Source organism: Homo sapiens, chromosome 3 (genome assembly GCF_000001405.40).
Source record: "Homo sapiens chromosome 3, GRCh38.p14 Primary Assembly".
Taxonomy (NCBI): Eukaryota; Metazoa; Chordata; class Mammalia; order Primates; family Hominidae; genus Homo; species Homo sapiens.
The window spans coordinates 99,655,277-99,677,610 of record NC_000003.12 but is presented as its reverse complement, the minus strand read 5'-3'; the positions used below and the strand labels follow the sequence as shown (position 1 = coordinate 99,677,610).

General features: G+C 36.9%; 1 protein-coding gene across 2 annotated transcripts in view, besides 1 other annotated feature; it reads right to left on the bottom strand.

The window, feature by feature from the left end:
* COL8A1 (collagen type VIII alpha 1 chain) overlaps positions 1–22,334 on the bottom strand; it is a 160,624-nt gene that overhangs the window by 121,607 nt on the left and 16,683 nt on the right. The window contains exon 2 of one of the 2 annotated variants that reach the window (NM_001850.5): positions 1,890–1,951. The exons of the other annotated variant lie outside the window; for it this stretch is intronic. The gene's annotated coding sequence lies outside the window, so the exon portion shown is untranslated. The remainder of the gene's footprint in view (positions 1–1,889; positions 1,952–22,334) is intronic. 2 annotated transcript variants of the gene reach the window in all.
* Positions 17,919–19,118: an enhancer, noted in NCBI's record as "CDK7 strongly-dependent group 2 enhancer chr3:99377337-99378536 (GRCh37/hg19 assembly coordinates)". NCBI's record gives its function as "activates an origin of replication core promoter dependent on BRD2, BRD4, P300/CBP, MED14 and CDK7 cofactors, with strong dependence on CDK7, by STARR-seq in HCT116 cells {active_cell/tissue: HCT116}" and the evidence as "EXISTENCE:reporter gene assay evidence [ECO:0000049][PMID:35650434]".

Below are 22,334 nucleotides of genomic sequence, written 5' to 3'. Positions count from 1 at the left end.
ACACTTTGTATATTTTCATGTGACATACTATAAGATGTTCTGCATTAAGAAGCTATCTGATTTCATGTAAGATTATGCCTTTAAGAGACTTTGGACTATTGTGTATTAATTTATCCTTATTTTTCACTCTCCCTGTAAATAAAATCAATTTAAAACCAAGGCTTCTGTGGAAAGTTTCCTGAAGGCCATTCCTGTTATCTGGTGTTAGGTAATGACTGGTGAATTTTCAAATAGCTGTGATATTTTGCATTTGAGAAATCTAGAAGCTAACAGATGAGAGCAAGAATAAGAAAGATTTGGACACTGGATTATTAAAAATGAGTTATATTTATGTATTGATTTTGGTTGTATTTTCAAGCACCTGTCACATCAAATTGTAACTCTTAAAACAGTCATTTCTTGATGTTCATTCTTTAAATTCCTTTGCTTACACCTGCTAAAATTGATGTGCTTATATATATATATGTAATTGATGTGTTTATATATAATTATATATATAGGTTACATATATATAATTTCTTTCTCCCTCTCTCTCTCTCTCTCTCTTTTTCTTTTTGTACAGACAGGGTTTTGCCATGTTGCCTAGGCTTGTCTCAAACTCTTGGGCTTAAGTGATCCACCTGCCTTGGCCTCCCAAAGTGGTGGCATTACAGGTGTAAGCCACTGCACCCAGCATAAAATTGATGTTTTAATTGCTACTGTAAATGGTATCTTTCAAAAAGTTTCATTTTTCTATTTGTTTATTCCTTATATAGAGAAGTTAATGGATTTTTGAATATTGATATTATATCCAATGGGCTAGATAAATGCAGTTATTAATTCTAACAATAAATAATGAAAATTATATTTTTCCTTTCCAATTCCAATTCCTTATGCCTCTTATTTCTCTTTCTTACCTTAATACACACAATAGGACCTCTAGCATAATTTGAATAACAGTGGTGATAGTGGGCATTCTTGTCTTCTTCCAAAAGTTATAATTAACTATAATGTTTGCACAGAAATTTTGTATTCACTTTGTCATGTCAAGGAAGTCTTCTTGGTTTGCTAGGCACTTTTTGTCATGAATGTGTATTAAATGTTATCAAACCCCTTTTCTGAATCTATTGAATTTATTTTGTGATTTTCTTTTTTATTAATGTGGTAAATTACATTGATTGATTTTTGAATCCTAAACCATTCTTCTAGTCCTGGAAAAAAGCCTACTTGATCATTTTGCAACCATGTATCTGCTATTTTCCTTTCTTGTAATGTTCTTGCCAGGTTTTGGGATCAAGATTATGCTGTGCTAATAAATAAGAGGAAAATACCTATTATCACTTTTTATTATTCTTTGGGAATGTTGTGTGAAATTGGTGTTATTTCATCTTCAAATTCACTGGCGAAGCTACCTGGATGTGGAGTTTTCTTTGTAAGAAGGTTTACAAAAATGATTTAGTTTTTTAAAAGTAATATAGGACTATTTATATTTTCCATTCCTTTCTGTGTAGTTTGGTAATAATTTCACATAAATTGTCATATTTACTGGTATAAAGTGTTTTATAATATAGCTTAATGGTCTTTTTAATGTCAGATGATAGTTTACAATGCTATTAATATTATTCCTGTATGCAATGATAACACCAGATATGATTATTCATTCTTTTAAGTTCGCCAAGACATTTCACATAGATTATCACATTTATTTATGTCATTGAAGAGATGAAATAATGCTGACATGAATCACACACTCTTTTTTATCTCTATGACTTCAAATGCTCACACTAATGTGTGAGTATTTATTCAGCCTTAGAGGGGGTCAAAATTCTACTTACATTTGTGTTTAAAGGCTTATGGGTTGGGTGAACTGAGGCACACCGCAAATATCTAATTAATATTTGAAATATTACCTTTCAGTTGTCTTTTGTTCTTGAGATGACTTCAAGGGTGAGTTGGTGAACGTGTGAGCTCCCTGGATGAAGAGGATGATGTTCAGTGGAGATAGTAAGGAAAGTTACAAACTAAAAAATACCTGGTGTCAGACATTTTAACTTCAAGCAGTGTAGCTTAGTAATTCTGTCACAAAATTGAGTATCTTTGGCTTCATTAGCAATCTGCTGGATGATTTTGGCAAGTAACCAAATTAACTTATAGTGCACTTTTCCAGTAGATGAAGTAGAGCCAATATGGTTTTCCCTTTATTGCATCACTGGCGCTCATAACAAATAACAAAATATTGTATAAAGTGCTTTATGCCTCAGAAAACATCCAGAAAGAAGGTCCTAACTTATAAAATTGTTAGAGGCACTCCTAATCTTCTATAATAATTTTTCTCATGGCCAAAAATAAGGAAGGAAAGATAGCCATTGAAAGAGATCTCTGAGGGAGCTTCAAAATATCAGTTTACTATGGCTCTAGCTTTCTGTGTCATACCCACCAAGACAGTCATGCCAGCCCAACTGTGAAGCTTCACATGGAGCTATGTGAGAAACTAATGCTAGAAGCACACAGTTTCTCAGATTATGGATGAAATGAGAAAATCAGAAATAACCAAACCAGAGGGCTTATCTCTAGTTATTCCTAGACTGCCTTAGTTAGACATAGTGAATTTCAAGTTGGAAGGAACTGCAGAGGTCATTGAATCTCATCCCCTAGTATTCCCCGAAAGAAAACTGAGCACCCAAAGCTTAGATGACACATGTAGTGGAGAAACTAATGCTATGGGTGTGTCTTGCTTTAAAGAAAACTAGATTTCAAAATTCTAAATGTGAAAAATAGATAAAAAGGATCACTATTACTTTATCATTATTCAATAAATAAGTCTCTGTAGCATTCATTAAGTAGCAAATTCCCAATGCACTTAAGAAATGATCCAACTTCAAACATTTGATTTTCATGCAGACTTTCAGCAACACAGTTGTTGAGGAAAGCAATTCTTTCTGTGCTGGCCATTGTGAGCTCAATTACATTCCTGGGTGTTTGCCAGGGACAATTTCTAGCATTTTTTCCAGGTGGTGAGGTATGTGAGTGTTGTTGCTTTTACCGAACAAAATGTAGAGCCTGAGCTGCATAGCCAGAATAGAGAGTCAAGTCATGATCTGGGGCTGGAAGACTTTTCATGTGTGAGCCAGTGGCAGGGTATTGCTTTCCTTCTTGTCAGCCACACCTTCAAGGCTTTTTTTTTTTTAAAAAAGGAGACAATACACTTTATCTCAAAGGTATATTAAAAATGGAACAGAAGTTGGGTGGAGTAGCAATACCACAGTCCAAAACCTTTACCTCCTAGTTGACAGGGTGGAGTAAGCAAGGCATTCCTTGCCAGGCATGTTTATCTTGGCCCATAGGACCAGCAGGGAGGTATGAAGGCACACTCTGGCCACAAAGCTGAAAGGTTCTTATGTTACCTCAACTCCCTCCATTCCCGAGAGATTTCCTATAAATAGTCTCAATGAAAGTATTGATTGAAAAAAGGAAGGGTTATTTGGATTCATAATTTTCAAAGCACCCATTCATGAAAAAGCAAGAGATCATAAAAGTTGATAGCATAGGATTGTTTCTTTCCACATGCCTTGAAAATTTCCCAAAATTCATGAAATCATTGGGCTAGGTTATGGAGATGTCTGTGCAAAAAGACCTCATGAAAATTTGAAATATAATAATATGTAACATGTATGGGGAACTATTCTAAATGCGTTATGTGTAATAACTTATTTAGCCCTTTTTATAAACTTATGTGGTAGGCACTATTAATAACATCATCATCCTTATTGTTCAGATATGGAAACTGAGGTACACAGAGGTTAAAAATCTTCCCCACGTCACACAATCAGTAGTAATTGGCTGAATTCAAACCCAGGCAGTCTGACTCCAGAACTGGGAATTGAATCTTAATACCTATGCTCTGCTACCTCTATTAAAATGGCACATAAAATGATATTCTAAAAGAAATCCTCCAAAACTAATAATTATCTTACAATCAGAGTGAAAGGCAGGAAAATAAAATAATAAAAAACAAGAAAAAGAATTTCCTCCCCAAAATATTGTTCTTCAAAATTTACTTTTATGTAAATGTAAAGACTAATACTGTTTAATGCAGTGAATAAGAAAATCATACTATTCATACCAAAGGCAAGAAACTGTTTTAATATATAAAGAGGTACAGAATGATTTAGACAAACTCATGGGTGATAGTCCCATAATGGATTTTGAAAGGAAGCACAATGTCCCTAATATCCAAGTCTGAAAAGTCTTTTGAGTCTTTTTAGCTAGAAAATTTAAGGACTTTTACTCTTGATCAAGGAGGGCAACCAAGCCCCTCTTCCTCACATTTTGGCATCAAAGTAAGTGATACTGAGCTATGTGTTGCCCATTCAGTAATCACATGTAGTGATTTTGATAAAATTATGACCTTGTGTCAGTTTTACTTACAAAGCATTTCTTAATTGTTAAAAAAAAATCCACAAAAATGAGAGTCTACATGTCTAAATCGTAGGTCAAAAGTTCTTTGTACACTTGAGGTATATATCTGGAAATAGTCTGTCCCATTCATGAAGGGAGCTAGAAAATCTGGTTCAGAGACAGTCCTGGGATATAGCATGGGGATATGGAATGGAAAGAGATGATCTTCCCTGGGCCATGGGTGGAGAGACTCTTGCAGAAATTGAAAGTCTAAATCTGAGCTACTCATGGGATCTTAATCATAATCCAAGCAGTGCACGAACACAAGTCTAAGGTAAAAATTGTCTGGAACTGGTGAAATGTATAGAGCTCCACAAAAGAAAATGGAGAACTACTCCAAAAGGAATTTCCACAGTTCATGGAATAATCAGCATACAGGTGTGAGACAACTCTCTGAAGATGAGCTCATAGACCAAAATTATAAAGTAATAGCAGAGACTCCCTGCTTAAGGAAGTTAGTTAATGCAACAAATGGAAGAATTCTATTAGATAAATTAAATTACTGGTAGTATAATTATCTTTAAAAGACTTAAAAATAAGTGTAAGAATGATCAATGATAATGGAGTGAATAAAGTTTATGAGAAAACAAGGGCACACTAAAAAAAAGCATTTTTTAAATAAAGGAACCAAATATAAATTCTAGAAATAAAATATATTTATTAAAAAGAAAATGTTTTATAAAATTTTTAAAAAACCTCAAGAGATGAATTAAAGGACTAGATAAGCTGACTACATAAAGAAAGCACTCAGAATGTAATCCAATGAGATAAAAAGATGGAAAATACAGGAGAAGTTAGAAAAACATGGAAGATAGCTATGAGTAGTTCCAATTGACATGGAAGTACCAAAATATGAATCAAAGTAATAGTTATTTTTTTCCAAAAAAGAAGAAACGATGTTGCCTACATATAAGAAATTTAGAAATTGAAACAGAGAATAGGTGTTCTACCTCTCTTTTCGATAGCTTTTCTGAAAACAAGGACGTTAATTAATTCTTACTGCTCTGAGCTGTGGAAACTTCCTATGGATGAGTTTTGTGTTTGCCCCTGTGGAGCCCTTCAGGTTTCACCAGTTCTAGATTGCTTGTGTCTGTTCTCTGTTAAAAGCTGTCAGGCTCTAAAGTGGTTAACTCAGCATAATTCAATAGTGTGTTCTACAGAAGACAATAAAATTGAATGAAGTTTCCAAACACCTGCTTTTTTCTCTTGTAGCAGGTTGGGTATATTCTACATAATTGAATACTTGCTTTTCTCAAAATTTGATGTCTATATCTTGGCTAGTTTGAGTTATTCTGTAATGAACATGGGGGTGCAGATATCTTGACATACTGATCTCATTCTCTTTGGATATATACACCCAGTGGTAGATTACTGGGTCATATGGTAGGTCTATTTTTAATTATGTGAAGAACCTTCTTACTGTTTCCCATAATGGTTGTACCAATTTACATTCCCACCAACAATGTACAATGGTTCCATTTTCTCCACATCCTTCGTAACACTTGTTACATGGAGTATAAAAAAGTCAAACTCATAGAAACAGAGTAAAATAGTGGTTACTATGGGGTAGGTGGTGGGGGACTGGGAAGATGTTGGTGAAAAGACACACCATTTCAAGTACAAGGGATCTATTGTACATCATAATGACTACAGTTAACATATTGTATACTTGAAGATTACTGAGAGATTTTAAGTGTTCTCCACAAAAAATATGAGGTAATGAATATGTTAAGTAGCTTGATTTGGTTATTCCACAATGTATGTTAATATCAAAACATCATGTTGGAAACCACAAATATATGTAACTTTTTTGTTAGTTAAAAAAACTGATGTACACATCAAGAGCATTAAGTTTTCTACCTTAGAACATCCTCTCATCAAAGACATTAAAAAATGTTTTTGAGCCTTACCACATCTGAAGAATTATCTTCTCTACAGTCCTCTCAAACAATGTTTTGAAATCACATAAACTTACTTGTTACTTGTATTTTTCATATTTGTTTTAATAATTTTATTCCTATTCCTTTGAGATCATCTTCCTTCCCATTAGTTCATGCTCCATATTCTTTTAAAAATTTTTTTCCTTGAGGATTTTGATTCAGTTGTAGATTTATAGAGAATTTGCAGAAAGGAGTTATACTTTTAAATAACCCCCCCAACACACACATCTCTAACACACACACACATTACTCAAATTCACACACACAAACACACACACACACACACACCCCGGATGAGCCTGAATGTGCTACAACTGGGGAAGGAAAGAAGGCAAATAATACACCATCTCAAGAGGCAGTGAATGGGAGTACCTTAAACCAGCCATAGATATATATGTGGACTCTAAAAAAGTTGAACTCATGCAAGTAGAGAATAGAATAATAGTTAGCAGGGGCTGAGGGTATGGGGAGGGAGGAAATGAGGGCTTGTTGATGAAAAGGGCACAGACAGGAGGAAGAGGTTTTGAGATTAGCTGTACAGCAGGGTGACTATTTTCAATAACAATGTGTTGTATAGTTCAAAATAACTAAGAAAGCGAAGTTCAAATATCTCACCACAAAAAGTGACAACTAAATGAAGTGATGGGTATGTTAATTATTTTGGTTTAATCATTCCACACTGTATACATATATCAAAAAATCACATTGTACCACATAAATGTTTATAATTATGATTTATCAATCAAAACTAATATTAATAATAAGAAAAAGGGTATCTTTACAGGCTCTAAGACTCACCAGCTTTCTCTCCAAAAAACTGGTTCCAAGTATGTTTACTCATCAACCTAGCAAAGGATGACTAAATTTGACTATTATTAGGTCTGACTTCACATGAATGGAAGAATCGTGAATGTGTAGTTCTATTCAATGTATTTCATGCAAACATACTTGAGATGAAAAAAGAGATATGGCTGTTACTACTAAATTCATTTTTGGCTCAAAAAACTTCCCATAATGGTTCTTACTTAAAAATATTTTTCTTTTTAGTGATTACTGCTAGTGTCAGTTTAATGCTACCTTGTCTTTACCTCATTGCAAAATAAACTCTTTAGCTAAATACAAGAATATGTATATATTTCACACCAAGGCAAAAATGCTGAGTCAGATATGAATCTACAGAAATATAAACCATCTCTTCTTTGGGTCCTGGAGGTGATGTATTGCCTGTTTTTGAGTCAGAAATTATACAGAATTTTGTAGTTCAAGAAGGCTCTAGAAAACATTTTTTCCGCTGGAATGAAGTGAGAGAACTAGTTGTAAAAATTTCATCATTACTCTATGTATCTATAAAGCAGTTTCTCCTCCCAAGCCCACCCCTCAAAGAGCAGGGATCACACCATGGCAATTAGATATTAGAAATGAAATATAAACTTTGTTTCTGCTCCGTCAGGTTCTGGTTGTGACATAGCTTCCCTCTGTCGATCTCTTTAGCACTTGTAATTTTGTCTCTCCTATCTTTCTTAAAGAGATAGAGGTTGACTTATATGGTTATTATGTAGGATATGGAAGTGGAATTCCATTTCTAGTACTACAAAGGCAGTTCATTCTTTCATTCATTTATTTATTCATCATTTATTGAATATATATCATTTGCTAGACCTATTATCTCTGAGCCTTAGTTTCTCCCTTTATAGTCTTAAACTCTAAAATTTGCTGATTCTAAGCAAACATAATTCTTCTCAATTATCTCAGTTAATGGATATTATGCCATTCCAATTTAACTACAGACATTAACAATGCTTGCTTTTTAATGACTCAATGCATTTACAGACCCTGCTCCTGTCTGGAATGACCTTCATTTTTCCATTGATCTAATGAGTTTTCATTCTTTAAAATTCAACTCAAATGACAACCTCCTTAGTTTGGTTTACAGTGTATCTCCTGTGATTCTACTGCCCCTGTGCTTTTCTCTGTCACAGCATTGATCATGTTTTACTGTAAATTTATGTGGCAGATAAATTCTAACATATCCCCCAATTATCCCTTTGTCCCTCTCTCTCTCTCTCTCTCTCTCTCTCTCTCCCTCTATATATATATATATATATATATAATTTTTTTAAGACAAGGTCTTAAAAAGCCATATGGGCTTGAAGGTGAATCTTTCTCCAGTTGAATTTTCAGATGATACCTCAGCTTCAGTAACACCTTGGATTGCAGCCTTGTGAGGGACCCTGAAGCAGAGGATCCAGTTAAGCTATGCCCAATTTCTGACCTACTAAAGCTGCGATATAATAAATGTGTATTGTTTTATGCTGTTAAGTTTGTAAGTAATGTGTTATGCAGTAATTTACTTGTCAATTTGTTTATTTTACTCTTCTTTAGATTCTAACTTCTTTAGACCTGACACCCTGTGTTATTCATCATTGTATCAACAGAAGCTGATACTGTGCCTGGCATATTACTATACAGCTACTTATTAAATTTTTTCTGAACAGTATGGTAGTAAAGTAAGTTCACTGGATTTGCAGAAAGGAAATCATCTGCCACCAACTTTATAAACTTCTTTTCATTCAAGTTCTGAGGGTCAGGTTTTTTTAATGTGAAAAATTAGAGTTAGACTTAATTAGAGCTCAGCTCTAGTAGTTTCCATATCTCAGTTTTTCTCCTTAAAAGTAAATATTAAAGATACATGTGAAATGGCATTATGTTTTAGAAGATGACTTGATCTTCGATATGTTTCTATATTCTTTTTAAGTCTGGTATATTTTTAAGTCTGATGTGTAGTTATGGCAAGAATAGTGTATTTTTCACTTGTAAAAATGACGACTTTACTTAAAAGAAATCCCCAAGGGGGATTAAATAATGAAAACACAAAAGTTGGAATAAACTTATGAAAAATTGAAATCATTTTTTAAAAGGGCATTTGATGACATGTAGCATGACATTTAACAGCTTTCCTAATTAAATGGACCGAAAACCTGATAACACAATTTTAGTCAGGAATTTCTTTTTCCACACTGACAGGAAACATTTGTTTTGTTTTAGCCAGACAGTTTTTAAAAATGCTATTTATAATAGCATTGCCAAAGTTTAAAAAAAGGGAGGTCTACAAATTCTCATTTCTATTTTTTTAAATTTGCTGTGTTATCTTTTCAAATATTTCTTCCCTTTTACTGAATGCTTAGCTGATAGGAAAATCATTATTAACTCAAATGCTGATGGACATTTTTCACATTCTGGTCCAGCTCATATGGAGAAAATAGTTCTTATTAAGCATATTAGATAATTTTTTTTATGAAATCAGTGTATCTATCAGTTGGAGCTAATTTCTTATGCATTATTTCTACAAGGAGATAAAAACCTAGGCAGAGATGATACTGAATATTTGTTATTTGAAAGAGGAGTAAATGAGGAAGTGCACTTGTTTTTCTTTTATGTAAGACTTGAGCTACCCACCTGCCCATTTATGGACATTTTATTTCTTCTATTTTTAATCTGTGAAGACAGACAACCACTGAAACACTAATTACAAGAAAGAATTAACATTCCTTGTGCTTTCTCAACACAATACTTCTGTATCTTCCCTTAAGCGCATCCTGTCTTATTAGTTCCTGTCTTAAGAAAGGAACAGGAAAAAGTGATCAAATTCACTCTAAAGTACTGACAATACGTTAGAATAGAAGAGAGCCACATCAGACAGAGAAAAATTCTTCCTCCTAATTGTAAGCGACAGATGATCTTCTAAGGAAAGCTGTACAACCTGTATCTGAGGGAATCTCTAACATACACAACAACAACAAAACCCCACTTGTTTAAGTAGAGTATTTTTGAGTCCTAAGGTCAAAGAAGATAAATCTTCCTGATATTTCTTTTATTTCCATCACTCACAACACAAAAGTGTTGCAAAAATTAAGGTATGCTATTTTTTATTACGTATGGAACCAGCAACAAAAAATGCTTAATGATGCCTCTTACAAGAAAATAAAATAGTTCCATGGCTCAAAACAAGGAACCCAAAGGAATAGTTTAGGAAGCTCAGAGCTCATTTGATAGGAAACTGTAGGAGTTAAGAACTAGGGTTTGGAACTAAATAAATGAGGGTTTGGATTTAGGTTTTGTCATTGACTAGCCAAAACCACATGCCGTGCAAGTTATTTAACCTTCCTGAATCTGTTTCTTCATGTACAAAATGCAGATTATTATTCTTTTCATATACATATAATGAATACAAAATAAAATAATAACATATAATAAATGCTCTCCACAGAACATGCTGCAGAATAAATAATAAATGGACAATAAATTATCCTGGTCCTGTATTGATAGAAAAGGAAAATAAAGACTAGAGGTTAAGGCTTGCCAAATGTCATGTATTTAGTTTGAGAACTTGTTGGTAGAGCAAAGGGAATTTCTTCCATAAACTTGAAAGTTCATTACACAAATATTTTTCTACTTAGTTCCTATAGCATTTCTTTGAGAAAAGTAGATATTACCCCTTAATAGTGAGGGAACAAAGGAAGGACAGAGAGGGAAGTGGGTTGTATAAGCATATGAGACAAATTTCAACAGAAAGTGGAAACAAACAAAATTAGATTAATCCACTCTCCCCCACCTTAACTTTCCACACTAGTCTAAATTTTTGTTCCCTGGATGTATATTACAGATACATGTGTCTAATGTGTTTGAGGAGGATCCCAAAAAGTTGGTGAAACTGTGAATGTGAAAGCAAAACCATATCAACTGTCCCACTTTATCTGAGTGTGGAAGAAAGACAACCCAGTGACAAGACCCAGGATATGAATCAAATCTCAAGAAGGAGGATTATGCAACAAATGTTCTGCTTCAGTATTCTGATGGCATTCGATGCCAGGAGCTGAGACATTTTGAAGCTCAAGGAGCTCAAGGACCTTGCAGCAAGCAGAGATGAAAGACTGTCTCATTATCAAACAGTTTCATTTTTAATTTCCTTCTAAGTATGGATTTAATTTTTAAAATATTGTCCCTGTTATTTCCTCACATGGGAGATATTTTGATGATTAGAGCACCTTGGAAGCCATGCAGCCAAGAACCTTGTGAAGGTTCAGAGTGGGGTTTAGATATTCATGCAGTGGTCTGAAGTCTCCAAGATTTCATCAGGATTCCAGACATCACACCTACAGGTTTCTTCCAGAAGATTTCAGCTGGAAGCCTGGAATTTCTGATCAACATCTCAGGCACCTACTGCTCTATCAATAATTAATTCAGGCTGGGCGTGGTGGCTCACACCTGTAATCCCAGCACTTTAGGAGTCCGAGGCGGGCAGATCACTTGAGGTTAGAAGTTCGAGACCAGCCTGGCCAACATGGCGAAACCCCATCTCTACTAAGTAAAAAAAAAAAAAAAAAATTAGCTAAGTGTGGCAGCGGGCACCTGTAATCCCAGCTACCTGGGAAGCTGAGGCAGGAGAATTGCTTGAACCCGGGAGGCGGAGGTTGCAGTGAGCCGAGATTGTGCCATTGCCCTCCAGCCCGGGCAAAAAGAGTGAAACTGTGTCTCAAAAAAAAAAAAAAAAAAAAAAAAAGAATTAATTCAACAAGTATTTTTTGTCTCCCCACTGCTTCCAAAACAAGGCACTATGCTAGCCCCTGAGAGAGGAGTGAATATAAAAGGCAATATTTTATGTGGCATAAGTAACTGGATGCTGATGGGACTTTTCCTGTTGCACTGAAATTGGTGTGTGTGGTCCCAGTTGAAAACAGAAAGGTGATCAAGTCTAAAAAGATTCACCAATCGCTCCTTATACCCAAAGGTAGATGTACTAAGAGACCCCAGAAGAACCAGCCCTATGGCAAAGACACCTAACACTTTCCCTCTCCTCCATGTTATCTGAGAAAGGACATAAAGATGGGGGAAAGTTGGAGACTAAAACCATCTGCCTGTAGAGAAGTCAGCGATCATGGTGAGAAGCTTTTCTGTGAGAGGGAGGAGATGGTGAGTACTTTCTATTTCTCAAAGCCAAGTGAGAGGCTGGGAGTAGAGAGGCAGGCAGCTGCAAGAAGCTCTCTTGTGAGAGTTGAGAATACATGCAAGAAGGAGAGAGCCTGGCACCTGCTCCTTGGACTTCTAGTCTGAGAAATGGCAACATGGAAGGGGATGAGGGAGCATGGAGAAGCTCACATCCCACTTTTGGATGTGATGAGGATGTGTGAGTTTCTTGGGAGTCAAGTGGACTTTAGAGATGGTAGCTGGACTGAAATTCCCAGGAGAGAGCAAGAAGCTGCAGGTGGGACCTGGCATCTGAAGGACGTTGGAAGCTAAGTTTCTGCTTCAAGGAAAAATGCAGTGGAGAGGCGCACTCCTCCCCTTCATTCCCTCCAGCATTCTCCAAAGAACTCCCACTTATGTCCTGGAGAGAAGCAGCACTGGGGCTGCATGGCCATGCATAAATATTTGACAGCCAGTTGATACTATGCAATTAAGATTCTTCAGTCGATGGAAAGCAGGTTGAAGATAGCAGGTTGAATACAATTTTTAAAAAGCTAGTCCCTTTCTTCTCTCCCCTCCCATCCCCAAACACTTGAGGACCTAGGTCTCCACACAGGGAAGTGGGAAGAGGGATGTCAGAGTCGGGACATGCCCAGCATCTGCAACAGGGCACTGAGCTGGGAGGAGGAGTAAAAGAGCAGGGTACAAATATAGCTGTTGGTGGGAGAGAAGAAAGATTTGCATTGAATTTGAGGTTGAAGTTTTTTTTTTATTTTATTTTTTTTTTATTATACTTTAAGTTTTAGGGTACATGTGCAGTTTTAAACGGGATTGAGCCTTTAATTGCTGAAAGTGACCACGAAGTTATAGAATCTACCTAAGATGTCATTAAAGGACAGCAAAAGATGGCTTAGTAGAGCCAGTCTGAAAGCTGTGATTGGAGAAAAATATCTTGTTACATTAATTCATTCAACAAATAGTAGTTGAGGCCCTAAGTTGTGCCTGGCATTGCTCCAGGCCTTGGGGAAACAGAAAGCAGGGAACAAAAACAAAGTCCCTGCTCTTGAGAGCTTCCATTCAAGTGAGGGAAGACCAATAGTGAACAACAAACAATTGTATAGTTGCACAGTGGATTCTGTTTAACCATGTCCTTTCTATGATGGGAGAATGTACTTAGAAATTCCACTTTGGTCCCATGGATAGACTCAGTGCTAACGTTGCTGTTATGCACACTGAGTATTTGGTAACTAGGGTTAGGCCTTTTGTGTTGGAACTCCTTCCCAACCCCCAAATCAATGAATTGTGAGGGAGTGTCCATTGTGTGCAGGAAACTGTGGTAGGGGAGTTTATTAGTGGTAGGGCAGGACATAATTTGATAGAACTCATAGATTTAATCAAAGATAGTATGCATTAAAAAATAACCTACATTAATCATTTTTCTTAGATGTGTGGAGAAATTTTACAAAAATTTAAGATTAAAAATATTCTCCCCAAAAAACAAAACCTGGCTTCAATAAGGGATGCAGATCTCTCTCTCTCCATGGGAAAAATTTTACCATCTTCACTACTTTCTTTCATAGTTTGTTTCCTCTAGTATAGATTTCTCATAATTTCAGAAATCAATTAAATAGGGAAAATGACAGTAAGTATTGTTGGAAAATATGATTTAAAGGTCAAAGAGTTAGACATCAGCTTGCATTGGAATTTGGTAAATTTATAGAGCTTACCACAGCGAAAAGACAAAACAAAACACTGCCACTAACGCTTGGATTAGAATTCCTTTAAAAAAAAAATCCCCAAACAACTGGTATTTGCTTGAATTTTGCAGCCCAACATTAGCAAAACATAGAGCAGGAAACGACAATTTTGAGAGGCCCTAGAGCAAACAGCAAAGGGAGTGAGCCCTGTTCTGGCACCGGGTTAGTAAAAGTGAGGAGTGAGCTGGGCTTGGTGGCCTGCACCTGTAGTTTCAGCTGCTCGGGAGGCTGAGGTGAGAGGACTGCTTGAGCCTAGGAGTTCGAGGCTGCAGTGAGCTCTGATTGCACCACTGCACTTTAGCCTGGGCAACAACAGAGTGAGACCTCACCTCTCAAAAAACAATAAAACAAAATTTAAAAACATTATTTTTTTAAAGTAAGGAGTGGGCTATAATAGGTGTTGACTCTGTTGAGGAATACTTAGTCATTCTCTATAAGCATTCCTCATTATTCTCAGGACTTGTGATCAAATATCCGAAATCCTTTTACACCTGCATTTGTCAGAGTGGAGTCATCTACCGGGAGTGAAAACATGATATCTTTGAGAAAGTCGAAAGAATGCATCCGGATCAGAGATACCATTGTTTTTCTTCCTTAAGCAGCCCCTACTCCAATATGATTGGGGTCCTTATAAAAAGGGGAAATTTGGGGACAGAGACAAATATGCACACAGGGAGAACTCCATGTGAAGATGAAGGCAGAGATTGGGGTGATGCATTATCTACAAGCCACAGAGCACTAAAGATTGCCAGCAAACCATCAGAAGCTAGTGGAGGCATGGAACAGATATTTTCTCTCAGCCCTCCACAGAAACTAACCCTTCCGGCCTATTGGTCTTGAACTTCTGGCCTCCAGAACTGTTGCAAGTCACCCAGTTTGTTGCATTTTGTCGTGCTAGCCTTAGTAATCTGATAGTCATTATAAGTACATTGTTATGAAAATTGCTTTTCAAGTCAAAAGATAGATCAAATATATCCTTCCAAGTTCATACATGCATATGTACAGCATCTTTTCAGTGACTGCATGGGATTCTACACAATGGCTATTTCTCATTTGAAAGACTTGCATGTTTTCTCTATCTTTTCACTATTACTGTAATTAACAACATTATTGTATTTTTTTTTTTTTTTTGAGACAAAGTCTCGCCCTGTCGCCCAGGCTGGAGTGCAGTGGCGTGATGTCGGCTCAGGGCAACCTCCGTCTCCTGGGTTCAAGCGATTCTCCTGCCTCCGCCTCCCCAGTAGCTGGGATTATAGGCACTCACCACCACGCCTGGCTAATTTTTAAAATAATTTTTGTAGCCATGGGGTTTCACCATGTTGGCCAGGCTGGTCTCACACTCCTGACCTCAAGTGATCTGCCCACCTTGGCCTCCCAGAGTGCTGGGATTATAGGCACGTGCCACCGTGCTCGGCCCATATTAACCATTTTTAAGTGTACAGTTCAATGGTGATAAATATATTAATATAGCTGTGCAACCAAGCTCCAGAACTCTTCATCTTCCAAAATTAAAACTCTATGCCCATTTAAAAATAACTCCCCATTTCCTCCTTCCCTCATCCCCTGGCACATCATTCTACTTTCTCTATCCATAAATTTGACTACTCTAGGTATCTCAAATAAATGGAATCATACAGTATTTGTCATTTTGTGACTGGCCTATTTCACTTTGCATAATGTCCTCAAGCTGTTGTAGCACGTGTTACAATTTTCTTCCTTTCTTCGGTTGAATAATATTTAATACAATATATATGCCACATTTTGTTTATCCATTCATCCATCAGTGAATATTTGCATTGCTTCTACCTTTTGGCTACTGTGAATAATCCTGCCATGAACATGGATTGTAAAAATATCTCTTGGAGACCTCGCTTTCAGTTCTTTGGAGCATATAACCAGAAATGAAATTGCTGGATAATATGCTAATTCTATTTTTATTTTTTTAAGGAGCTGCCATAATGTCTTTCGTAGCAGCTGTACCATTTTATATTCTCATCAACAGTGCACAAGTTTTCAATTTCTCCATATCCTCACTAAAAATTGTCATTTTCTGGTTTTTGTTTTTTGTTTTGATACTAGTCATCCTAGTCGGTGTGAGGTAGACATCTCATGGCAGTTTTGATTTACATTTTCCCTAATGATTAGTGAAGTTGAACATATTTTCATGTGCTTGTTGACCATTTGTATATCTTCTTTGGAGAAATATCTATTTAAGTCTTTTGTTCGTTTTGAATTGTGTTTCTTTTTGTTGTTGTTGTTGAGTTGTAGGAGTTTTTAAAAAATATTCTGGATATTAACTCTTTATCAAATATATGTTTTGTAAGAATTTTCTCCAATTCTATCATCTGTCTTGTTATTCTGTGGATTGTATCCTTTGATGAACACCATTATTTTTATATCCTAAGACATACATATTCATCTTTGCACGTTTATCTTACATGTGAGAAGGATAGCTTCTTAGGGTGGAATTACTAATTCACCGTCTAACACCCATGCCAATTTAGCCTCTTACCAACAGTATATGATCATTACCCCATTTCCATTCCCTTTCCAGCACTGCATGAGGTGTATTTTAAAAATTGACATAGACATTGAAAATGATGTTTTTATACATGCCACTCTGTTTTTCAAACAGTAAAAGCCTGTGACATTATGGTTAGCTATTAAACAAATTTGGGCCAGATCATGTTCCCTGGAGTTTAACATGTACATAAAGTAAAAACCTATAATTTAGAAATTGGTTCTGCCCCCAGCCCTAGGGTAAAAAGCTCTTACTTTATTTCTATTTTAAGCTTTCTAATTAGTTCTTATACCTCAGGTGATTTACTTTAATGATTAATGAATGGTGCCATTTTATAAATGTGTAAATAAGTCCACCCCAATTCATAGCTAGAGAAATTATAGGAGAAGCCCATATGCCAGAACAATTAAGTGTAAGCCAAGGATTCAGTCTCAGCCCAGAATCCTTCTACCTATTGCCAGCCCCCTTGCACCACCACAGACTTCCGGTTTTAGGGGCTGGAAAGGCTAGGCTGACTGCAAGGATGTAACAACGATGATGGGAGATGATGTCCCACTGATCTGGTGGGAGTTATGTCACTGCAATTGAGAAAAGGACCTGTCTCAGGAGGATATTTCTTTTATGGCTATATTTAAAAAATAATAGTTATAGGAAGATAATCATGATTTCAGGTCTTGGGACCAGAAGTAGAAAAAGGCATGCTTTCCCCCTTCAATCATACCACCTGTATAAAGGCATATGAGGTCCCTACACTGACTTTGGAGAGCTTATGCAAAGCCACAGTGCCCTTAGGAATTTCCTCTTCTTTCCCCGCTGGAACTTTCTGTACAGAGCACTTGTGACGCACCACACTCACTTGTCCTGCGTGATTCCGGGTTGGAATGTAAATGTCTTCCTGTTCCTAAGGTTCTCTACTGCAGTTTATTAAAAACCAGAGAAGCTGGGCTTGGTGCTTCCACACAGTTTTTCTAGTTTATTGGCTCTATTTGCTTGTAAAAATATGTTTTCAATTACACCTAAAAGGTTTGATTCAAACTACTCTGGGAAAAGCAATATGTATTGTTTTTCCTGCCCACATCACATATATTCTGGTTCATAGGGAATTTAAGGTGCAGTACGCTGACTTCAAATGGCCAGCAATAGAACAGAGTCTCGGGAGGAAGGTAAAGGATAACCGTAAGCTATAAATAATAGCAGATAAACAGAAATCGAGTGTTTATTCTGGACTCATTTTGAGCATGGCAGATTATGGACATGATCATAAAGGACAAAAAGATATACCAAACCCAGGAGAAAAAATGAGACTGCTTGGAACACAAGATCAAAACAAGGAATACTAATTTCAGGTGAACCTCTTTTTTTGCCATAGAACTTTCTAGATGCTTTTGTGAGCCAGCCATATCTACTTATTTTTCTTTGTCAATAATACAAAATTAGGGCTTTAAAACCACAGTCTCAGTGGGGCTAAACGGGACATTATTGTTTTCCTCAGAGGAGTATTCCCTTAGAATGATGTGATAGTTATTATTATTAGCAATTTATCCAGGTCCTGGACAAGGGAATATTGTTTTATTCACTGCTGATTAAATATTCATCTGCCCAGAGAGAATGCACAGATGGATTATACTGGCCCATGCCACAAACAGGGAAGGGGAGGCAGCCGTGAGAAGTTAAGTGGGAGTTGTGACTAATGTGCCGTGAAAGCACTGGCTCCTCCACGTACACATGACCCTTGTTGAAACTTCTAAGGTCCAACCACGAGCCAGCTAGGCGTTAGCTCATCATAGATGAATCAGGGTGAACGTGGCCTTATCCATGAGTCACATACTACATGTGAAGCAACTGGGGGCTCACAGGGCTGAACTAACCACCATCAGGGAAAGGCATCTGCTTTCTGGTCTTGTTCTTCCTAGTCAACTAGCTATTGTTTTTGTCTCCAGTTCCAGCCTGAAGACCTTAGGATGCGTAAGAATCACCTAGAATGCTGGCTTGAAATGCAGATTTCTGGCCTCAACCCATGAGACTGATTCAGTAGAGCTAGTGGGGATGTGGAATCATGACGCAGGTAGTCCTTAGACTACACTTTAAAACACTCTGGGAAACTTTGCCCACAATGAGAATGAGAGGGACTGATTGAGTGATGTGATTATCAAGTTTGCTTACCATTATTGCTAAGGGCCTGTCTTAGATTTGTTCTTCCCGCCTTGCACTGTTGGTTGCTAAAGACGTCTTGTTTTCTGACTTCTTTGATTAGACTTTTGGCCACTCACTTTTCCTAGACCCTTGGTTGACCTTTGTATCTGCCAGTTTGTCTCTGATATCTGCTTCTCTGAATATCATTTGTTATCCTTCCTTCATTCTTTCATTAACAGCACTGAGTACCTGCACTTGGTTTCAGGCTCTGTGCTGGGGACAGACTGGTTGGTAAGGCAGACTCAAATCAGGCTGTAACTTGGTTTACAGGCTAGCCATGGAGACAGTTAGTTAAACAGAAACAGTGAGAGTATTAGATGCCATAGAAGGATGCTGGCAATGTGAGAGCACAGGGCAGGGCCACTTTATCTAGGCCAGAAGGTCAAAGGAGACTTCTGGGAATGCTTGGGGAGTTAAGAGGCGATGAGAAGGCAGGGTGTTCTGGGCGGAGAGAACAAAACATTGTAAATAAAAGCCCTAAAAATTAAGAGATCTGACAATTTCAAAGAGAGCTGTAACTGTAGTGCAGGGTGGGGCTGGTGACAGCAGATGGTATAGCAAGGAATGGAGCTGAGAAGACGGGCAGGCCCAGATGATGAAGGCCTGAGATGGTTTCAGGACTCCAGTGGAAGGCTATGAAATGTCTTTGAAAGGTGTTTTTTTTTTTTTGTTTTTTGTTTTTTTGAGATGGAGTCTTGCTCTGGGGTGCAGTGGTGCGATCTCGGCTCACTGCAGCCTCCGCCTCCTGGGTTCAAGTGATTCTCCTGCCTCAGCCTCCTGAGTAACTGGGATTACAAGAGCATGCCATCACACCCGGCTAATTTTTGTATTTTTAGTAGAGACGTGGTTTCACCATGTTGGTCAGGCTGTCTCAAACTCCTGACCTTGTGATCCGCCTGCCTTGGCCTCCCAAAGTGCTGGGATTACAGGTGTGAGCCACCGTGCCCGGTCCTCTGAAAGGTTTTAAACAGGGGTGAGTCACAATCTGGTGTGTACCAAGAAAGAACACTATGTGTGGCAGATGGTGCAAACAATTAAGAGTAAAGTCTCCAGAGGGTAGGAGGCATGGGATGAGGGGCACTTAGAGAAGAGGTGAGGGAAAATGAATGAAGATAAATAGCTCCTCTACTGTATCAGGAGGGAAGGCATAAGAGACAGGATGGCCTGAAGCTAAGATGCGTTAAGTTGAGGGTGTTTCATCCTCGCGGGGAGAAAAGAGTAAAGACACTTTTGAAACATTCCTGAGAGCATTTTAGGTAATGAGATTTTAGTACTGAAATAAATTATTCAACTGGGTGATATGTAGGCTATACCAGCTACTCAGTCTTATCAGCTAAAAGATGCCGCTAGCCATTTAGAAATGTAACAATACTATTATTATTTTTCAGACTGTGAGTGTCTTTAAAAATTAGAATCAAAACCAAGAAACAACTGTAAAATAATTAAGAAGTCAGGTGCATGCTAGGTCTAATAAATGAGTTAACACCCATGAAAGCCCTTAGTACACTAGAGTCACATGACTATGTTAGATTGTGACAACGTCTAAGAAAACAAAAGCCATGACATCTGATCAAGCTTGGGATGCGATCATCAATTTTACTGTAGGAAATGCCTTAGTGAAGATTCTCAGTACATCTTTGGCTTTCTGAAGCATATAGATCTTTTCCTCCCATAAAAGGATGAAGTCAGTTTTTTAGGTACAAAGCTATACCATTTTCCTATTTGTCCTAAAAGCAAGTTCAAGCTGAGAAACCATCTTAAGGTTTGAATGAGGAAGTTCTGATAAAAGAAAGTACAGAAAAACCAACTCGAAATTCTACTGAAAGGCAATGTTCAGCCATTTCTTTGTCAAGAAAGTTCTGACAACACAAAAGGGCTTCAATGGGGATGGCATGCCCAAGTGGACTTTTCTCACAAATGCATAACAACGGACAGATTTGGAATGTGCTGTTCTTTCTGCTAAAGATATTTTTCCACTCTTGGCCTTCCAAAACCCAGAGTTCAAAGCTTAACTACTAGTTTTTTATGCAGGAGCAAATTGACCACAACACTATTAGAAAAAGACGTGAGTCAGTGTGTTTGGCTCTTTGTTTCTTTATTGTGTTCTTTGGAAAAGAAAGATTGTAAGGAAAGAAAAGCAGGGAAAGACTGACTGCCTTTGCATCTTTTCCTTGACGGGTGTTTGCTTAAAAAATAATAACCCTAAACTGAGCTATTATTGAGATTTATATTAAGGATTTTCAAGTTTTGAAATAGGAACAAAGTCCAACAGACCCCTGTGAGGAAAGCTTTTTTTTTTTTTTTCTTCTTATACAAATAGATAAATTGAGTTACTGACCAGTGAAGTAACTTCCCTGGTCTTGGTTGCATTCAATGAAAAGAAAGCACAAACTTAAGGTTTGGGATTTTAGATAACCACTTTGATCATGTCAAGCTGACAACCAAAAAGTTAATAATGTGTTCTACTGTGTGTTAGGGAGATGAGGTTTTCTAGCTTAACAGGAATTCTATTTCATATAATTTATATGCATTTATGCATGTGTGTTTGCATAGACACACACATATTAGAATAAACTCAACTTTCCACAATCTTTAGGAAATGAGACGGTTTGGATAATTAAAATTTTCCCAATAGCTGATATTTTATACCTTTAAGGATCAAAATATACTTCTTTTGATATATACTTAAAATACATAATGTTTTTCATTTTTAAAAGATGCTACCAAATATGTCAATAAATTTATAATTAGCTGTGATTCAGTGATTCTTTTAAAGATGTCCTCAAATCGTACAACTATTTGTGTCCACAGTGAATGCCATTTTGCTTTCTAAATTCTTGTGTTTGTATAGCTTCTTTTTTTCTTACTTTCTTGTTAGGCCTCCATACTTTTCTTTCTTCCTTCTGTCAGTGCACTTACTTGTTGCAGCTCCTCTCCTTTTTCTAGGTCAGTGCTTCAAGTTGGCTATGTTCTGAGAACTCAGAGAACCACGTGTGTTAACATTATTCATGAAGTAAAGGTAAATAGGCTCAAAGTGAAGACTCCACATGACTGCTTACAAATATAAACCTTAATGACCATTGTCTTTTATTCTCTGAGCACTTTTGATTTACTTTTTGTCCTCAATTGTGTACTATGAAGTTGAAATTGTCAAAAGTTAGAATTTTAGATAAATGAAATATCACTTTAAATATATTTTACTTCTAAAACTCAACTTGCAATAATTTAGTTTTTCTCCAGCGAGTCAGATACTGTTTACCCAATGAGCGTTTACTGAATGCTGTGTGCCTCTGTCTGCTGCAGGGCCTCAGGACCTCACAGTATTTCAGGGTCATCCCTGGGACCACCAGTTTTCATTGTATAGTACCTTGATGGCAACAAATTTAAGATCTTGTAACCATTTTAGTTGAAAGACTACCATGTAAAGACAGTTTCCTGTTTTGTATATTTTAAATCTATGTGTGTTGAATGTCTCAAAAGACACCTATTAGGTAGCTGACTTGCTAGCTTTTTGGCACCTAG